The 21005-nt window shown below is 39.6% G+C and overlaps 1 protein-coding gene across 8 annotated transcripts in view; it reads right to left on the reverse strand.

The window, feature by feature from the left end:
• The window catches only part of SLC25A13 (solute carrier family 25 member 13), a 201879-nt gene that overhangs the window by 57948 nt on the left and 122926 nt on the right, over positions 1 to 21005 (reverse strand). For 6 of the 8 annotated variants that reach the window (NR_027662.2, NM_014251.3, XM_047419712.1 and 3 more), the window contains 6 exons: positions 14870 to 15016; positions 12942 to 13080; positions 11414 to 11507; positions 11127 to 11211; positions 6760 to 6844; positions 6110 to 6268 (listed from right to left, as the gene is read on the reverse strand). Coding sequence is in view for 7 of the 8 variants with exons in the window: in NM_014251.3 (NP_055066.1) it covers positions 6110 to 6268; positions 6760 to 6844; positions 11127 to 11211; positions 11414 to 11507; positions 12942 to 13080; positions 14870 to 15016 (709 nt within the window). In the remaining variant the exon portion in view is untranslated. Of the gene's footprint in view, positions 1 to 6109; positions 6269 to 6759; positions 6848 to 11126; positions 11212 to 11413; positions 11508 to 12941; positions 13081 to 14869; positions 15017 to 21005 lie in introns of those variants that run through there. The other 2 variants (NM_001160210.2, XM_047419715.1) reach the window with 2 other exon arrangements.

Raw genomic sequence — 21005 nt, forward strand, 5'->3', positions numbered from 1 at the left:
AACCAGTGAGAGCAGGAATATACTGGGAAGAAGGCGCAGGGTCAGGAGTGGGTTGAAGCCACGCTGAGCGGCTACTGTAACCCAGAGTGGCCAGGGTGCCAAAGGACCACGCTGGGCAACGCTAGCAGGACCACAGAGGTGGAGGGGCTACTACCAAGGAAGAAACTTGGTAACTAAGGCAGTAGTTACCAGTTCTATCTCAGCATAGAACTGAGACAGGGGCCAGCCCAAACCAGAGAAAGACAGCTGAGAGCATCTAATAGAGGGCAGAAGGTATTCAGGGCAGAGACGAGCAGTAAACTTTGGAAGGAAAAATTAATCCAGAAGACACCCCTATTCCTGTAGCTGAAGCCACAGCCAGCACACTGTTGTGTTATCTAGTTTCCACCTGGTAGCAACCCCTCCGATGTCAAATTCTTACCCTTCTGACCTCACTATTGAAACCAGAACACTTGTCCCTATCTTCCCCGAGAAACCCCTTTGCTTTCAACATCAGATTAACCTTCATTCTGCAGCTATCAGCACTTTGTGTGCCCTGCCTTAGAGCTTTTTATTCCTGCTCCTGTTGCCATGCCCTTCTCTCTTCACTTGCTCAAGCATTCTTTCCTCCCTCCTCCTCCTCCCATTTGTCTGTCTGCTTTTGACTCAGATTGCCCCTAGGCATGAGGCATTTCCACCTTCCCAACTACACTATCGCCTTTCAAAGCCTTCATTACAACCCAGTTCTGACAGGCTCTTTGGGCTGCTACCCCAAGGTGGCTGTACAGTGGAGCTGGGGAAATAGCCAGGGACAAATGCAGAAATGAAGATTTAAATGCCAGTTTATCTAGGTTAAATTATTTACACTCAAAATTTCAAGCACTGTCTGTTATCTTAGCTATGGCTCAGGATGCCTTTGGGAGACAAAGTGTTAAAACATAAAATAAGTGATTATGATTATGGTCTGGAAAAAAATCAGTTCCTCAACTCCTCTATTCTGGGGCTTTCTAGAAGTAAAGAGAATTGGGGAAAACGATCAGATACTCCTGCAGTTTTTCACCATAGTACATGAGAACGTTCAGGATCCTGGTTATCTTTTCTTCTATCTAAACTATTTCCCTCCTACTGAGGTTTAATCTATCTCCCTTGTTTTAGTCTCAGCAACAGTAGCTGGTTATAAATTATCATTTTTGAGGTGTGGAACTAATTCATTCATTAACCTCTTCTCTAGGATACCTACACGTCTATCTTTTTGTCATATTTTTCCAATTTTCTAAGGTCATCAGTTGTTACTGTAGCACTCTCAAGTCTCTAACAATTCTCTCACCCACCTTAGATCCAGTGTGTGTCGCCTCAGTCTCAGATTACAATGCCCTGTGCTCACTAAAGTTAGCTCACTGTAGATTTCTGGAGATTGGCTAACCCAACAAATGATCTGTTGAAATCTTCTGCTCATTCTTATGTGGCTTCCTATAACCAAATACATGTCTTCTGATATTTTTATAGCTTAATGCTCTAAATGAAAACGTGCAGAAATTGGCCAAGAAAATAAAGACTCAAACCTATCCATTTTGCAATCATTAAAAGTTTTGGTGGACATGGATGGACATGAGTGCAGTTCACAGATTAACTATGGTTTGTTTCAAGATGCATGTGTTCTTAAGTAATGCAAAACAGTCATGGAAATTTCAATCATTTTATTTTGGTGCCAGAATTTTAAAGTTTATTTTATCCCCATGAATTATGCAAGAATGAAGAATCTCACTGTGATTCTAAAGAATCTGGATACTCCCTTTTATAGTACCATCAATGATAAGGGACCTGGCTTAAACTAGCTGCCTGCCAAAACTTCCCTCTGCAATATAAAAGTATCAATAACTCCCTGAGATATCACCACAACATCCTCTAGATGTCACCTTGAGAACATTCCAGGATGGAAGATGACTGCTTTGCACTACACAGACAACTTGAAATAGAAATATTTACAACTCTGCAAGCTTGGATCAATGGGCTGATTAAAAAATGTGGTTTTTTTTTTGCCAATTTCCTCAAAGGTTAAGCACTGCTTAAATTAAGTTTAATTCATAAAATGATCTAATTACTCTTTCTGGGAGATTTTCTTTAGGGCTTCTCCCATCAATAGAAACAAAAATTTTCGTCTAAGAAGTATTTCTGATAGACCCTGATTTCTATCTCTTTTTTTTTCTAAATTGAGACAGAGTTTCACTCTTGTCTCCCAGGCAGGAATGCAGCGGCACAATCTCAGATCACTGCATCCTCCTGGGTTCAAGCGATTCTCCTGCCTCAGCCTGTAGCTGCGATTACAGGCCCGCCATTATGCCCAGCCAATTTTTGTATTTTTAGTAGAGACAGAGTTTGGCCATGTTGGCCAGGCTGGTCTTGAACTCCTGACCTCAGGTGATCCACCCGCCTCGGTCTCCCAAAGTGCTGGGATTACAGGCATAAGCCACCGTACCCGGCCATATTTCTCTTAATACATCTTTTTCCCCAAGATTCTCCCAAAACATTTTCCAGTGTCTAAGGCTGCTCATCTCATCACCTGAAAGATCTGAGAGAGAAGACTGCAACAAAGTTTAAAAGCAGAAATTATTTATTCCTGGAACATTAAGAGCATTTAATTATGGATGATTACCCAATCAATTGTTGTTCTTTAATACGCCAGATCTATAGCAGGCCAATGACTGATTCATTTGGTTATGCCAGTCATTCAAACCAAACAAGTTGTCAGGTAATTCATTAAGGATTTCAAATACCTGAGCACATTAAATCACTCTGAAGACTGGGGAGGAAACAGAGAAAGAATTTTAAAAGTGACTTCAGGAAGACCTGGATTATCTCAGGTGTGATTTCCCTTAATACAGACAGGCTTGGCCTGGGGGTTGGATTTTCAGAAATAACAACAACAACAACAACAACAAACTAGGAAAATTTGCCATTTTCTTGTTAGGAAAAAAGTAGTTTGCACTGTAGAGAAGGTTTGCAGAGCCAGACTCATGGGATTTTTAAGGAGCTCTTTTCCAGCAACTAAAACTTACACAAAAATAGGAGAGAGGCTCCTGGAAATAAAGAAAACGGAGTTATACCAATACATGGAGAGCAGGAATTAACCAACTCACAACACCTCTCATGACTCTCTGAGGTATATTTCTATTGAAGAGCACTGCTAGGCACTCTCTCATGACTACCAAGCAACTTCCACAACTATTCTGATGCAGCCAGCTGCGGGGGAGGCAAAGAACAAAACTTGTGGTGGAGCACTACAAGAGTTCTTTTAAAATAACCTTCATTCTAATGCCACAGGGAAAGGCTTTTAAATGCAAAAACAGCTTCTGATATTCTTGTTATAAGAAAAAGAGATATTTATTAACCTCATAATAAGATCGCATGCTACAAAAACACCTTCTTTGAGGCCAGATGCCAACTTTTTTCAAAGTATACACAAAGGTAATTTTAAAGTAGGAGAAAGATCTTACAACTGCAACATTCCCAAATTATCTCATTCAGGAAATATGAGCAATTACATAGGCCTTGATAGAGAAAAATTACATGTTGAGCAAAATTCTGTAATACTAAAAACTATGCTCAATATTTAAAAACATGTATGAATTAAAGATGTACTCTGATACCTTCTCAAATATTGCTAGGTGAAAGCATTAATAGCAGCAATACTATATTTTCCTAATTTAAACGTAACAGTTTTCCTCTGGAATAATATAATTTTAAAATAAAGTTACATTTTATGAGAAATGTACAAAGAATCACATATAGGTATTTCATAATGTGACTTTGTACATAAAGGTGATAATACTGAGTCTCAGAAATATGTCAGGTCTTTTTTACTTATATTGTAATTTTTTAAATTAACAACAATAACCATGAGTTACCTACATTTTCATCTGATCTCTCTTACCCAATAAGCACTTACAAATATGCAGTTATATACAATTATTAATTATTGATGATGTACAAGAAACTAAAGAGAACTGATCCCTGACCAATCAAGAATAGGAACAAGTCATTTTCATGGCAAAGTTATGTATCATTATTATTTTAACCTGAACTGTCAGTCATCATTTTGCTCTCAAGATGATCCAAATTACAGAATGGGACTAAACAAAAATTTTACAGTAAATTTTTTGTTTTAAAATGGTTTACCAGAAAAGATATCAGGAAGAAATGAACACAGGTGACTCCTAGAACTAATCTTATATTCACACTCTACTCATCATCCTGACAGACAGCTCTGTCTCTTGCCCTTAAGGTTGGGGCACCCAAAGATAAATGGCCATTTCTAAACCAGGAAAAGGGTGAAGAGCTGCCACTTGGGTGTTTACAGTGAGCCTCTGTCTGTACCTAATATATTGACTTACTACTCCTCTGAGAAGTTAAAAGCAGTCACTCTCATCTTACAGATAAAAGAACTGAAACGGCAAGAGTGGAAGCCTCTTTGCATAGCCCACATTAGCTCAGCACTCAGTACTCAGGCACACTTCTAGTTGCCAACAGTACAGGTTGCAAAAGGGAAATATAGACGTAACCAAAAATCAGACCTGCCAGGTATGGTCAAAGATCGAGAAAAAAGGACTCAAAATAAAAAATCAACTTAAGCAAATTAAAGACACTGAGCAGTGTTGGGAAGCATTCTTACAATTCTAAAGGCATCCTTGACATTTAATCTAATACCAAGAAAAGCCCAAAAAGTAGTTTATGAAGCAATGCTCAGATGTCTGCCCAGACTTGAGACTCGAGATTTCCCTTCCAAAAACCACCCATATGGACAGGTAAGGCGGCCAATTTTGCCTGACTCACTGCAGAATAGGAACTGTGACATTAACCTTGTACTACTTGGAAGCCATTTCATTTGCAAAGTTGTTGCCATCAGGGAAGAAAAGCATTTCAAATGGAAGGCAGTGACCCTGAAAGGGTCATCATCAATCACCTGAGGTCAAAGACCTTCCAAATTGTAAGAAGAGGCAGGGGATAAGGAAAAGAGGGCAGAGCAAAGATCAAAAGGCCTTTGATGGGGGCTACCTACCTACACAATAGGACCTGCAAAATGGAACTTCTCTGGAGTTTGAGACTTTCTGGCTTCTAAGGTGAGAGGTTTCAAGAAAGGTTTATCCTTTTTGTTTTTTTTAACTGGGGTAATTAATTTGAAGACTAGAGTCAGCAGATGGCAGAAGAGGCCCAGAGGCACAGGTTTCCATGTCTGCCAGTTTCACCGTCCACCTCAGCAGAGTACTAAATACTGTTTTCTTCATCTAGAGAGAGCATTAGTAGGGGAGAGGAGGGAAAACTCTGCCAGCTTTGCCGCTGCCAAATTATAAAGCAGCTGAGTTTGAACTGCCTTGTGATACTGTATTTTAACTGATGCAGAAACACTGTTTCCTTCTCGTAGAAGGCAATCCCCGAAAGAACAGTTGAGAAGTCTCCTTCGGCCAATGCCAGTGGAAAAGCAGTCAGGGTCTGTGGGATCCTTTCCATCAGTGATGACATACTCTCTGCTACTACTTCCATTGCTTAATGAACCTTAGATGGTTAAAGGAAAAGGTGGAGAAAGAAGGATTACCTGTTTCAGGCTGTCTCAGTGGGGGGAAACCTTGGCTAGAGGGGTGTGTGAATCAACTCCATTGGGTTGAGAGTCAGATGAAGAAAAGGGGCAACTTTAATTCAGGATGAAGCAGCAAAAGAGAGCTCTACTGAACCCTTCGTTATCTTTTTTGTGGTGTATTCCAGGAAAATCATGAATCCTGAGTAGGCTTTGTCCTGGTGGCAGAATACCTTTCCCTGTTAGCTGGAGAATAGAGTACTTCAAGGATGCAAACAATGTGAGCCTTTCAAAAATTCACGGAAGATGCTTATAAAAATAATTTATTATTTTAAGAAATAAAACATACAACAGAGCACTATAAATAATTTTCAGATTATGGGCTGTTTTGATTAGCCAAGCCCTAGATGCCTCCAGCCTACTCCCATTAGCATGGATAATTGAAAATCTGCTGTATTTCCATTTTAACGCAGTCTTGCTAATTCATGTCAGGCACTAAGATGAGAAACCAAACCTTTGAGTGTTATTTCACCTAACAGGTATTGAGCATGTGGCACTAACCTCTATACAGTCCAAAGAAGCCTTCATAGCGTAGCACTTTCTTAAAACAGTCAAAGCTGTTTTTATACATGAGTTCTCCCACAAAAGAGCCAGTTGATCGTTGGTTCTGCATTCGAGTTTTTACAAGATCGATAGGATACACAGCAGTGGCTCCAACAGCTAAAATTAAACAATATCATTATCTCAGAAGAAAGTAAGATAGGTCAGAAGAAAGAAGAAGGTAGTTAAAGTCAAGGACAAGACTGAGAAAAGAAATGTGTTTTGAATTTTAAATACAGATTTTAAAACAGTACTACCTTTCTTATATCTTTAATAAACAATTGAGGGTTTTCATTCAAGTATCCCCTAATAAAAGGATGTCATAGATATTTTAAATTAAGGCACATTGCTACAGCCCAACCTCATTAGTAACCTGTCTTTGGAAGGCCTGATCTGTAGATAGAGGAAAATGCCACTTGTAAGTCCCTGATCACATGCAGGTATGGGAAAAGAGTTCCCTTTACTCTTGCCCTACCTCACAGGTAGAAACTGATAACTGGCATTGGGAAAGACTAGAGAAGACTTTGTCCTTTAACATTTCAAGATGGAAAATCAGAGAAAAGAGAATAGGAATAACAAAAGTGAAAATTTTTCTCTCATCCATGACTAACCTCCAGCAACAGAACCCAGACCAAACCTGTAGGCCGACTCTGCAACTTGTAGAAGAACTGGTCGAGCTGAATCACCTGAGGCCTTCTGCTTTGCATGCACAGGAATCAGAGAGCAGGAAAACAGGTGACAGAAAAGAAGATAAAACAAAAATGACCATACATTAACTTTAAACATTACTCATTGGGTTCTAAATCCATGATACAACTAAAATGTCAAGGAAAAAAGTAGGAATGGATTTCATAAGTTCTTATTAATAAAAAGATTTTAGTGCTATTAATGTTTAAAACCAAATTTCAATATAATCAAAACCATCCTTTGACAAAAATGATGTTATAAGCCTATTTTCAAATTCTCATTAAAAAAAATGCACAGTTAAAAACATCACTGAGGCCAGGCACGGTGGCTCACGCCTGTAATCCCAGCACTTTGGGAGGCTGAGGCGGGCGGATTACCTGAGCACAGGAGTTCAAGACCAGCCTGGATAACATGGTGAAAGCCCATCTCTATAATATAACACAAAAATTAGACCAGCATGGTGGCATGTGCCTGTAGTCTCAGCTACTCAGGCTGAGGAGGGAGAATCACTTGAGCCCAGGGGGCAGAGGTTGCAGTGAGCTGAGATCACGCCACTGCACTTCAGCCTCGGCAACAGAGCAAGACTCTATCTCAAAAATAAAAATAGGTCGGGTACGGTGGCTCATGCCTGTAATCCCAGCACTTCAGGAGGCCGAGGTGGGTGGATCATGAGGTCAGGAGATTGAGACCATCCTGGCTAACATGGTGAAACCCCGTCTCTACTAAAAATACAAAAAAAAGAAAAAAATTAGCTGGGTGTGGTGGCAGGCGCCTGTAGTCCCAGCTACTTGGGAAGCTGAGGCAGGAGAATGGCGTGAACCCGTGAGGTGAAGCTTGCAGTGAGCCGAGATCGCGCCACTGCACTCCAGCCTGGGCAACAGAGTGAGACTGTATCAAAAAAATAAAATAAAATAAAGTAAATAAAGCAAATAAAAACATCAATGAGACATCATTTTTCATCAATCAAATTGGCAGGTTTTTGGTTTGTATGTATTTTTGTTTTTGTTTTAAGTGGCAATACCCAGCCTGGCAAAAGTTGATAACAAGCCTTCTGAAATTTGCCATTAAAGCAAGCATAAATAGAGAGATGTTTAGTAATATACACCCAAACCCTTAAAATGTACATAACCTCTGAAGTTAGAATAGGCTGGGTGCAGTGGCTCACACCTGTAATCCCAGCACTTTGGGAGGCCGAGGTGGGTGGATCACTTGAGGTCAGGAGTTCGAGACCAGCCTGACCACCATGGAGAAACCCCGTCTCTTCTAAAAATAAAAAATTAGCCGGACGTGGTGGCGCATGCCTGTAATCTCAGCTACTTGGGAGGCTGAGGCAGGAGAATCACTTGAACCTGGGAGGCGGAGGCTGCAGTGAGCCAAGATCGCGCCACTGCACTCCAGCCTGGGCAAGAAGAGTGAAACTCCGTCTCAAAAAGAAAAAAGTTAGGATAGAAGATAATCATGCATGTAACAAGCTACAAGAATGTAGCACTTAAAAAACATTTGTAGTACTTATTGGAAATTTCGATTATTTCCCAAATTTTTGCTCTTTAAACAAAAAGAACAAAAATTTGGGAAATATTCTAAATGTCCAATAACGGAGGACTATAGCCTTTAAAAATAATAACTTTAAAACAAAACCCTATCATTCAAAATGATACTGTAAAAGAATATTTGATATTAAATGTTCACAAGGAATTATAAAAGAAAACATAGGCTAAAAAGAGCATGGTAAGTAGATAGGTATTTGTCATATGATTCTTTGTACCTATTTAAATGTTTGACCTATTTCCTGGTAATTTTTTTAAAAACAATTTTTAAGACTATATACAAAATGATGTCACTTTTTATTAAAAATGCTTGTAAGAGGTTTACATATATATGCATATAAAATTAATACTAATATTTTGCCTCCCTACCACCCAGAGATACTCAAAACATTTACAGTAGCTAAAACTAGGTGGCTGTATTACAGTTGATCGTTACTTTTTCTCTTTTTTTGTCCATCTTTTCTAAATTCATACTTCAGGTCAGTCAGTCATTGTTTTCTGGTTCTTTTGACCTATTATCCTCACAGTGTTTTTGATGCCAGAACATTTCAGAGTGCTGCACTTCTCTGTCTGCATAAATAAAACAGTAATTTTATGTCACAGAGAGTTGTCAAATGAGGGTGACATATAGTCAGTGCTTAATAAATACCTGTTGAATGAATACATACATTCAATAAAATTTGTTTTTCAGAATCCATGATAATTAAAATCAGTGAACAATGAAAATAATCAGCAACCCCAGCTATCAACCCACTGAATTTTAGTTGCTGTCAATGTAACACAATTCTAATACAATGAGATCATTTGGAATCTCCTTCAAAGTCACTTAACTGAAAATAGCTTTACATAGAAATATGCCTCTTTAAGATACAAAACATTTCTTTTGCAAATTCTATGAGTTGTTTCCAACTGTAGCCCTATATAGATGGAAATCAATAGTACCTTCATTTTGACAGATGCATCCAAAAGAGAAGCAATATTTTATTTACAGGGATATAAATATGCAATACTTAGAAATGTTCTGGCATCAAAATAATGAGTGAAAATACTCTGAAAATTATAGAGGGTGGGGGGAGGAGGGACCTACCACCACCATTAATTCCTCTCCTAAAAGACAAATGAAATCCTAGACTTTTATTTAACTTTTCCAAAGCCAGAACTGTAGCATGTTCTTGAAATGAGACAAAACTCTGCTCCTTCACTCCTCTGTCCAGGATAAATGCTACAAGTGCTGCACAGTGCTGGACAGGCAGCGCTGTGCCCACAGGTGGACGACCTCCCTTGCTTGAATTTGTCGGGCCCACTAGGGTTCATGCAGTAAAAAGCCTATTCCAGGTAAGGCCATTGTGAATTGCTCTAAACCTCTAAGCGGCAGCGAATCATTTCCTGCTATAAATCTCATCAATCTGGTCTAACCCTTTCATGGCCAGTATCAACAAGCACCCATCATAAACTCTCAAAAGCTGCAAAGAGCTTAAAGGAAAAATTGTGGGAAGCCGCTGCCAGCTGAAGAGTAGGAGGGATCTAAAAAAAACTTCTCTGCTTCTCTTAATCCCCAAATTTCTACAATAGCTGGTGGCATACAGACGAAGAGATAATCATCTCCTAAGCAGTGTTAAAAATCAAAGGGAAGGGAGAGCAGTGTTGCTTCCACCTCTACACGTGATTATAGTTATTTCTCCTGCACTCAGAGAAATCGGCTTCCTCTTTTAAGCAAGGCCAGCTGGTTTTCCAGAGGTGCTCGTTAGAATTTACTGAGCACACACCCACTACTTTGACTTGCATGCTGCACACAAAACTCACCGCTGCATTTGGGTGGGAAAGAGCTAAAAGAAGGGGGCCCTGGCTCAAGGTCTGACAGTCCTAAAAGTGTAGCCTGCAGCAACCCATTGTGGTCACACTGGCGTCTCTGTACAAACCCAGAGCTCCATGCCAGAAACTGCGAAGTCTCACAGGATTCAGAGATGGCTCTGCCTAAAAGGAGAAATTTTTCTAAAAACGACACTCGCCTGTGAGTGGATTTATTTTACAAACACCATTTATTTTACTAACACATGCTATGAAGGCTTTTCTTCTCTAATCCTGATCTACAGAAAGCTGGGTAAGAGTTAAAGGAGAAAGTTCCATGTCTTAAGTTTCTGACTCCCACAACTTCAAGAGATTGGTTTCTGTTAACCATAAAATAAAATTTAGCATTCCTAAAATTGTTTCCATATAACTTATGAATCCTTTCACAGAGAAAATAGGTCTGAAAGCCTTTAAACTGTAACTCCAGACTAAACAAAATTATCTCATTTTGATATTCAGAAAAACGGAAGGCATGGCAGTTAGACGATGCGCTGATGAAGGGCTGCTCCACAGAGCAAAGACGGCTTTCATTTAGCAACGTGCAGCTGCCGACAGGCACAGTGACACCAACACGGGATTCTTTCGCTACATCTCTCAACATGAGACTTCAAGAAAGGAGAAAAGACCTCCTTCATGTTTTCGGAGCATTAGGCTTCTGGTGCAGTTAGGAAATCACTCCACCTTAGCAAGAAATGAGCAAATGCCAAATACCTGTTTATCACACCATTTCTAAGCAATTTCTCTTTACAGCCTTTAAAATTTATCGAGAGTTTTGGTGCAAAACAGAAAAATGGTTAAGTCAGATACCAATGCCGCAAAGGCAACTGCAAGTGGAACAGGGTTGGGGTATCCTGCTAAGGAAACCCCAGAATGCAAGTTTGCTCCTCTTTGCTCACCTGCCTCTGGGCCTCAGCCAAGTTAAAGGGCAGAGTTCCCTCTTCCAGAGGAGCAATCCGTTCAATGTCTGCTAAGGTCATACGTCTGTAGGGGAAAAACAAACACAAGCAACAAATATACCAATTTATTACAATTTACATTATAAAATTTAAAAACATCCCTTTTTTCATTTCTCATATTTCAGTATAGCCTTCAGTTTGGCTTCTTTTTCTCCTGATTGCTGCCCTCCTCCTAACCTCCTTTTATTAAGCTAATTCCAAAAAAAAAAAAAAAAAAGCCAACTTACCCCCTTGGCTCATATAAATCTGCTAACTGAAACAAGATGTCAACTTCCATGGGTGTAACCTGACCAAATTTCTGAGCTGCCAGAACAAACTCCTCTGTATGGAAGAAAAGTTAAAAGGGAAAGATTCAAGAAGAAATAGCCACTAAATTCAGCATTAACTCAAGGCACTGGAATGAGTGAACATCACAAAACTTTATTATTATCATCAGTTGTAGAATTCAAGTCAATCCAAATAAGGTAAGAATTTTTGCAGTTCTTGCATCCATTTGGAAAGCGTGTGCAGAATATGTTCTTGAATATACAGTTTAAAAGCTTGGGGTCATCTGATGTTATTCAAATTGCCAATCAGAGAAAATAAGGAATCATATATGAAACTTCATATGCATAGGTCCCAGGAGGGGAAGTTATATTAATCTAATTAACTGGTTAAATTAGGATTATTAATTATATTAATTTAGGTGGTTATATTAATGAAGGTGTGGAATTCCTAAGGGAATTCTGATTTTTTTTTTTTTTTTTTTTGAGACAGAGTCTTGCTCTGTTGCCCAGGCTGGAGTGCAGTGGTGCAATCTCGGTTCACTACAACCTCCGACTCTTGGGTTCAAGCGATTCCCCTGCCTCAGCCTCCCAAGGAGCTGGAACTACAGGTGTGTGCCACCATGCCCTGCTAATTTTTTTATATATACATTTTTAGTAGAGACGGGGTTTCACCGTGTTAGCCAGGATCGTCTCAATCTCCTGACCTCATGATCTGCCCGCCTCGGCCTCCCAAAGTGCTGGGATTACAGGCATGAGCCACCGCACCGGCTCTGATTTTTTTTCTTAATCCCATTACAATGCTGATAATATCCTGTCCCAAGCCTACAGACCAACTTACACTGTCACCAATGCAACTTTATGGAATTCCTCATATACACCTGAAGGCTTCCTTAGAGGTTGCCAATTTAGCTCAAGCTGTAGCAAGATTTGAAAATATTTAAGAAACTTTACATGTTTTCCTTATTCAAAGGGTGTCTTCAGTTTATTTATTTATTTATTTATTTATTTTTGAGATGGCATTTTGCTCTTGTTGCCCAGGCTGGAGTGCAGTGGCGTGATCTCGGCTCACTGCAACCTTCGCCTCCCAGGTTCAAGCGATTCTTCTGCCTCAGCCTCCCAAGTAGCTGGGATTACAGGTGCCCACCACCACACCCGACTAATGTTTGTATTTTTAGTAGAGACAGGGTTTCACCCTCTTGGCCAGGCTGGTCTCGAACTCCTGATCTCAGGTGATCCACCCACCTCGGCCTCCCAAACTGCTGGGATTTCAGGTGTGAGTCACCAAGCTGGGCCCAGTTTGTTTAAAACTTGGTGAAGATTGTTTTGTTTGCTTTTGTTTGTCTGATCAAAGGATGAAAAACACACGTTATCATATAGTTAATATGTGTCAATGGGATAGAAAAATAATAAAGTACTAGTTGCCTTCTTCACCCTAATAATAATACACCACAATACTTGCAGGCTAGAATTCAGATATATTCTCACTCACCCTTAGTCACTTCAACATCTTTCCTGGTGCCAGCCAGAGTGCTATAGATCTTTCTAATGAGTTCCATGTTGTTAAGGAGCGAATTAAATCCATTAAAATAGGAGAAACTAACTTGATGGGATGTGGTACCTCCAGCAGCCTCAAATAAATTGAAAACAAGAGAGAAGAAAAATATACAAAAGATTTATAGATGATTCAGAAGTACATACATCTAAAACTAGTTTGAAAGTAATCAAAAATGCATGTACAAGAAGAAATGACTATAAGTATTTTTCTTTTGCATTAAAAAAAAGCTATAAATGATTTTTAGAAGCAACTGCAACTAATCATGACCAGAACTTGTACTCTCCATACACAACTCCTAGAAAACTAAATAAATACATGTGTAGGATTATAACAGGACTAGTAGTAATTTAGAGTTCAAATTTCAATTGGAAATGTTTTATAAGTTGGTTTATTTCATCTAATGAGCAAATCTTAAAGGCTTAAACATGCAAAAACTATAAGTACATATGCACACATGTGTGTGCTTATGCATGAAAAACTGTATTGTATCAATGCAAACATACTATGAAAAGTAGTCAATGTAACATTAATATCAAGACTTGTCAAGTTACTTATAACCAGTAATAAATAATCATTTAGGTACAGACTTTACATTGGTGGGATTTCTAGCAAACAAGCATATTATGGTAAAATTATGAGATGCCATATACTTTCATGGGGGGTTAAGACTAGTAAAAATTCTGATAATCAGAATTTTTAAGAAACCATATTTCTTCACAGGGGACAAGGGAAACAGACAGAATGTCCATTATGAATGAGACTTCAGTTTGGAGTTTCAAATTCTATCCTTCCCTAGCAAGGCAAAATATTTTTATTAGGAAAGCACTTCTTTACAAGGTAACAACCACATAAATCTTCACTTAGTAATCATTTAAAATAGCTGACATGAAAGTTTAGTATGGAGTAGAGAAGGGGGCGCCCAAGAAAAGGAGTTAGATTAACACAGTGCCAGAATGGAAGAGGCCTCGTTGGAATACCATGTCTCTAGAACTAAGGACTTGGGGGAAGAAAGGAAACTGAAAGGCTACTCTGAGTTCCTGCCTATGGTAAGCACTGTGGGAAACCCAGATGATGGTGAAAACAGTATTCTCCCTGGGATTAACAAAAGGAGAGTTACCACGGGCTATTGGTCCTAAAACTGAGTTATTACCAAAATCACCCAGAAGCTTTACAAAATTAGATTCTAAGACCTCATCGCCTATAGATGGTGTATGATAGGCCTAGAAGAGATCTCAGAATCTGTAGTTTTAATAGTTTTTAGTGGTGATTCTGGTGCTCCACGAGCAGGTCTTAAGAACCACCACCACAGAATGTTGCAGGACATCCCCAGGGCCCATGAGGGAAGGACAGCAGCTGACACCTGGAGGAGGGAGGCTCCATGAAACACAACTGCAGGGCTCTGCTGTCACATGTAACTCTGTGGCCTCGACACATACACGGTGAAAGGGAATCTAAGGTTTGGAGTTTCTGTTGTGCTAACTACTCTAACAAATGATATACATGTGCACTATTTTTTTTTTTTTTTTGCCTTAGAGCATCTAAGAAGATTAGCAAAAATCAGCCCTTGATATACTTCAAAATCTAAAACAAAATTAACATGAGATCACAAATCTGTTTTTCCTTTTATCTTTAAAAAGCTAATGTATTTCTCGAAGATATTCCGTATTACCCAGACAACAAATTAACCTACCCACTAAAACTAGCCAAAACACACTCTTTGTTTGAGTTTAGTAATGTATGTGATCACATTAAAATGTTAGTGTTTGCAACAGAAAAAAAACACTACATAACTTATAAGAATTGTTTTTATAATTCCTTATTTACTGAGTTAAACCACTTCATTAGGGCAAGTTACAACTTACAGCTACTAGACATTCTTCTACAAAAGGAGTCAAGACATGGGGGCGGATGGTGACCATGATGTCTCGGAAGTCGATGGCTGTGACTCTCCCAGTCCTAGCATTGTCCCGTTGCACAAAGGCTTGCTTTGCGTGCTCCAGTTGTATTTCCTACAAATAAAGAAAGTAAAATACTTAATTTATGCTTCTCATTTAATAATTACTACAAATGACAGTTCATTTTAAAATCAGACTGAAGAAAGAGAGTTTACATCTTGATCTAACAAGCCCTCATCTGCCTAATAGCACCACCAAGCTACTGTCTCCTTCCAAGAGACAGAACTTTGCTCAGACCAATGAACATGTCTTGAGAAAGTGCACTCTACCTTACTCTGCTACCCAATGAAACCCAATTACTTCCGTGCTCTCTAGAGTCCATGAACACAAAGAAAATGAAAACCGGAATGAAGTGTTGTAGGTTCAAAGATCTGGCCAACCCCAGCTTAGGTGATGCAGATGATCTGAGGAAAAACACTGCCAGGGACTTTAACTTCTCTCCAAAGAAAAGAGAAAAATTCTTAACTGCAACCTGGTACCCAAACACATGATGTAACAATAGATAGAAAAGAGTGGTGGTTCTTCTCTGCTATTTCTCCAACACAGGGTTTCTCAGCCTTGCCATTATTGGCATTTTGGACAGGGTAAGTCTTTATTACGGGAGGGCTGTCGTGTGTACCCCTATTCTCTTCCCACTAGATACAAGTAGCCCCTTCCCTCTAAGGTCATAACAATCAAAAATGTCTCTGCATAGAGCCATATGTCTTGATTAAGGACTACTGCTCTAAGTAGTTGCATGGTATGTGGATCAGGGGAGGTAAACCTGTCATGGTATCATTGCATATGTTTAATTAAAATGATCTGAAGACAGAAAGTCCAATCACAGAGCTCTGTTGCTATTCCCAGGGGATAAGTGTGTACACAAAAGAAAACAGCCTCCCATCAAAACTCACTGTGCACTATATGGAAGGAACATTCCTCCTGCAGAGAGCATTTTATTATCTTCCTCACAACACTCTGCTCATTTCCCAAACAGGGCCCTTGCAGTGACAGCTAACTTCTATGCAATTAAAAAGTAACACCAGCCAGACACAGTAGCTCATGCCTGTAATCCCAACACTTGAGGAGGCTGAGGTGGATGGATCCCTTGAGCCCAGTAGTTCCAGGCCAGCCTGGGCCACATGGCAAAACCCCATCTCTACAAAAAAAAAAAAAAAAAGAAATTTGCCAGGCATGGAGGTGCATGCCTGTAGTCCCAGCTACTTGGGAGACTGGGGTGAGAGGATCACCTGAGCCTGGGGAGGAGGAGGTTGCAGTGAGCTGAGATCATGCCGCCACACTCCAGCCTGGGTGACAGAGTGAAACCTTGTCTCAAAAAAAAAAAAAAAAAAAAAAAAAGGAACACCAACAGGGCTCTCAAAAACTTCAAATTATTTGAATATAATGGAGTTTTTTTAGACGATATTAAGAAATTAATTTTTAATTTTAGTGAGATAATGACATCGTATTTATTCAAGTTATGTAAAAAATAATTGTCCTTATGAATTTGTGCAAACTAAAGTGTAAGGGAAATGACATGAGTCTGATACTGCTTTAAAGTACTCGATCTTCCTTTCCTTCCCCAGAAAGGCAGGGAGATGAAAGAAGAAATACAGTATTTGCAATAACGGAAGCCAAATAGCAGTTGCATGATGGGTCATTATAGTCTTCTACTTTTGCAGTTTGAAAATGTCTACATTTAAAATATTTTAAAGATAAGACATTTAATAGTAAGAATCAGAGTTCTTATCCTATTTAAAAGAATCTCCTCATTTGTAGCCATCTGCCAGTTTCGAACCAGCCTGCCTCAGCTGAAACTCTCTTCTGGGATCCCAGTCTTTCTGGAGCCTCCACCACTGGCTCCTTAAATGGGAAGCATCTGTTGGCCCTCTGTCCTCACATCTTCTCACTCTACTCTCCTAGACAGAGTGCTCTCTCTCTTAAGCCCTCAAGGATTTCTTAAAAGCTAAGGCTTAACTCCCATATTCAAGTCTCATTCCTTTCTGCTGGACCAGAATTTCTGTTTAGAGAATATATCCACGTGGGTATCGTGTAAAGGCCATAAAATGACACATCGCTAACCCCATATTGTAGATCCCCCAACCCAGTGCTCAAACCTGGTCTCTCTTCTATGTTCACAGCTTAATTATTAGGCATGTAGTTTTATTGGCCACCTCACCTAGAAAGCTGTCATTCTGAATTGTTCAAGCTTCCTTTCTCCCAGAGTAAACCAGTTACCAAATTCTGTCCCTTAGGCCTTTGAAAGTTTGCCCAAATGCACCTTTTCCTTTTTGTTCCTGATGCTACTGGTTCAGACTTTCCTCAGACCTCATCTAAATTATCACTGAGAGTCAGTGGTTCTGACTGTCAGTCTGGAGCTTGGGCTTGCAGTCTGGACCTCTGTGGTCTACCATGCACACATAAAAAGTTGCTTTTCAGAATTAAAAACCTGACTCCCTCCCCCTCCATGGAAATCTCCAATGACCCTTCATCATACAGACCCGTCTCTGAAGCAAGGCATACAAGCCCCCAGAGGAACTAGTCTTAGCCTCATCTCCTATCACCCATGCCCACCCCTGCCAGACCTGCCACACACCTGGGCTTTTGCCCACATCGTTACTTCCACCTAGTGTAGACTGCTGCCCCTTTCTCCAGCTCCTGAAATCCTGCCACTTCCTTTAAGCTTAGCTCAAATGGTACCACTTAGGCAAATATAACCAGGCCTTATAACTGGAAATAACTGATGTCCCTTCCGGTGGCCCCCTGTCTGAATATCAATTATAAAACTTGTCTTATTTGATCTTACATCATAATCAGTTATTCACATTCCTGCCTTTACACCTACCTTACCAAGGAAAAGACAGTATAACCTTTTGAAGTCCTGTAAGCATCTACTTACATTTATACATGCAGCTCAGCAGAATGCTTTAGATGTATAGTAGGTGCTCAATAAATGACAGGCATTCTCATCAGTGAAAAGTATTCTGTAAAACCAACTGAATGAACAAATCGTGAGCTATTGAACAATGGGAGGTTCTCTATATGAGTGCTTCCAATTAAGGAAGAAGAAATCAACTGTTAAACACCCTGTAGTGAAAAATGACCACAGTGCGTATTCAATTGAAAGTAAATGAACAGTCTCCTTTGAATTACCAGACCCATTGCTAAAGCTAGCTAAGCCAAGACTACTCTCAACAATAGTAGAAGGTATGTTCAGCGATTTACCATTTTCCCTAGTTTATAACTCAACATCTTAGAGATCCTCAGACAATTATACCAAAAATGGCACCGCTTTCTCTGGCAACCCCATCTCCTCAGAAAGCAGGAAGCCACAATGCTAAGACCAGCCTGTCCAGAATTCCAGATTGGGAATGGATGCCAAGGTGGGGGCTGGTGCTCACATAGCAGGACAGGGGACATACCTGTGATTAGGACAGTGTTACAACACATCCTGTGCCCACGCTTCCATGATTAAACATCTATGAGCAGGGACCCCTCAAGTTGGAGTAAGAAAGTTATTTTAAGTCTGATGATGAACAACCTGAGAATACATTTCCAACAGCTCTTAAAGATTGGGGGCATTATAAGTTCCACAGAAGACAAAATGCTAGATCTATGTAGTTCTCTAAATAGCAGGACAGAGTGAAAACACGCAGTTAGGTGGCTCTCCAACTTTAAAAGCAGCATTCTGAAGACGTGGGTTGCCTTCTGAAGATCATCTGTTTATGTCGTGACTGTTTCTCCTTCCGGGTGAAGAAATGAAACCATGACCTCAACCAGTATGACAACCATGCAATAGCACTTAGCAAGCATGTATTATGCAGCAGGCACTGCTGTAAAGCATTTTACAGGAATTAATTCATGGAATGCTTACTGCAAGCCTATAAGGTAGGTACTATTATTAACCTCACTATAGCAGTTGAGCAAACTAAAGTCTCACTGACAGGAAGCAGTAAAGCTGGAATTCAAGCCTCAGCATTTCTACTCCCCAGCCCTCTATCTACCCATGCTCCTAATACTTCACTCAACTGCATGGGGAACCTCAGACAAAGCTACTGTCAGGAATTTGATTAAAAAATAAATTTGACACTAAGAAATCTTAACAGCTGTGGAAAGATAAAAACTCAATTTGCATTTAATGCTCTAGATTTTACTGTTGCCTATTTTTGTGGAAAAATAATAAAATTCCCTAAAGTTTTCCATTAAGGCAAAGGGCTTCTGTACACCCAGAGCATCAGGATTGTTTTACCAATAGTAGCAGAGACCAAGGAGGAGAGAAACCAAATCTAAAAGGCCTTCTCCTGGCCTCACTCCCTTTTTGCTCTCTTTCCCATAGCCCCAAGAGACAAAGGAGGAAAAAATTAAATCAGGAGGCCAGTGGGAGCTAACACATAGGTTACTCCGTAAATATGAAAGAAATGTGTGGTCTTTGAAATAAATGACTAGGCTCACTACTCATGGCAGAATGACTTAAAATCAAAGCTCCTGGTTTGCACCTCAAAAGCTATTTAATGAAAATCTGAATGTATACTATGGGTTGTCAAGAGACTGACAGCTCCTAGATCTCAACTCAGAAGGGATAAAACAGAGACAGAGAGCTTTTAGTATGCATGAAATATAGCATATACAAAATAGTATTTATTTCTAAAATGAAGGGGATCAGAAGTAAACGAGTCATCTGTGCAGAGGAGGGGAGAACAATATGGGCAGTAATCATTACATTCACATATTTAAAAGTTAAAAGACTATCAAGTAAAAAAAATATTAGGCTGCCCCTCTATTTCTTTTGAAAAAATGGAGAGATGCTATAGGGGTCAGAGTTTAGCACAGTACACAGAAGAAGTCTTTAACCTATAGAACTATTCAGCAGTAAAATGGGCTACCTTGAAAAGTAGCAGGTTCCCTGACACCAGAAATACGTGTTCAACCATAGGCTGAGGAACACATGTCAAGAATTTAACCTTATCTTTAATAGAGGGAGTTATGGAAGCCATACATTATGATGACAATAAGAAATCTGGAACAGGCATGGGTAGAGCGTAAACAGAAGTCATGACACTGCCACCCGGGAGAGCTCAGGTGATTGTTTGCATCTTAGAGCCTCAGATTTTCTTCTACAGAATAGGCACAACACCACCTACTGTGCAGGGTTGTAAAAACCAGAGGTCATGAATGACAGGCATTTAAAAAACAGTGGCTTTGATTTTTGTCCAGGTGAAAGGTTTAAAAACCTCTAAAGTCTCTTGCAATATGAAACAGTGGTTCTGCTCAATCATTCTGAACTAGCCACAGGAACGGAAAAATGAACATCAGCCAGGATGGAGGATAACAAAAGCTGAATGCTTCAACACTCACTACAGACCAGGGGCTATGCCAAGAACTTCAAAGACAGCATTTCACTTAAGCCTCACAATACTTCTGTGAAGTAATGATTATTATCTTCATTTTACACAGAGGCACCTGAAGTTCAGAGAGGTCAGGTAACTAGCCTAAAGTCACACAACTAAAAAGTGGAAGAGTTAAGATCCAAAGCAAGGGATGTCAGCTTTTAAAACTGAGATTCTTAACTACTAACTTATGCTGCCTCAGGCAAAATCATAAATAAGGGGGTCATAACTAGATTTGGACAGGTAGGAAAAGAGACTTTAAGAAAATTTTGATGATGATTTGAATATATAAATGAAGTAAGATATATCTCAAAAATCCACATTTTGAATGATGGGGAAGATACTCTACCACAAAGGAAAATACTTAAGGGGAAAGAGATGAGGTGGTTGACCATGATGAAAAACCTGGAATGAAGTGAGTTTCAGTTATAAACAAAAAGTTAAGAGGCACACAAAAGAAAGCTGAAGGTACAGGTAGAAATACAGATCTGGGAAATTCAGATAACAGGATTTTAGAGAAAACATCACAAGGAGAACGTTTACTAAGTTATTAAGTGCATGCTATGTCCCAGGGACTGTTGTGTTTTCCCTGCTTCATCTCTTTGAATCCTCTCCACAACCGAGGTGGTCCTACCATCACCTCTGTTCTGAAGATGGAAAAATGAGGTAAGAATGAG

Source organism: Homo sapiens, chromosome 7 (genome assembly GCF_000001405.40).
Source record: "Homo sapiens chromosome 7, GRCh38.p14 Primary Assembly".
Classification (NCBI taxonomy): domain Eukaryota; kingdom Metazoa; phylum Chordata; class Mammalia; order Primates; family Hominidae; genus Homo; species Homo sapiens.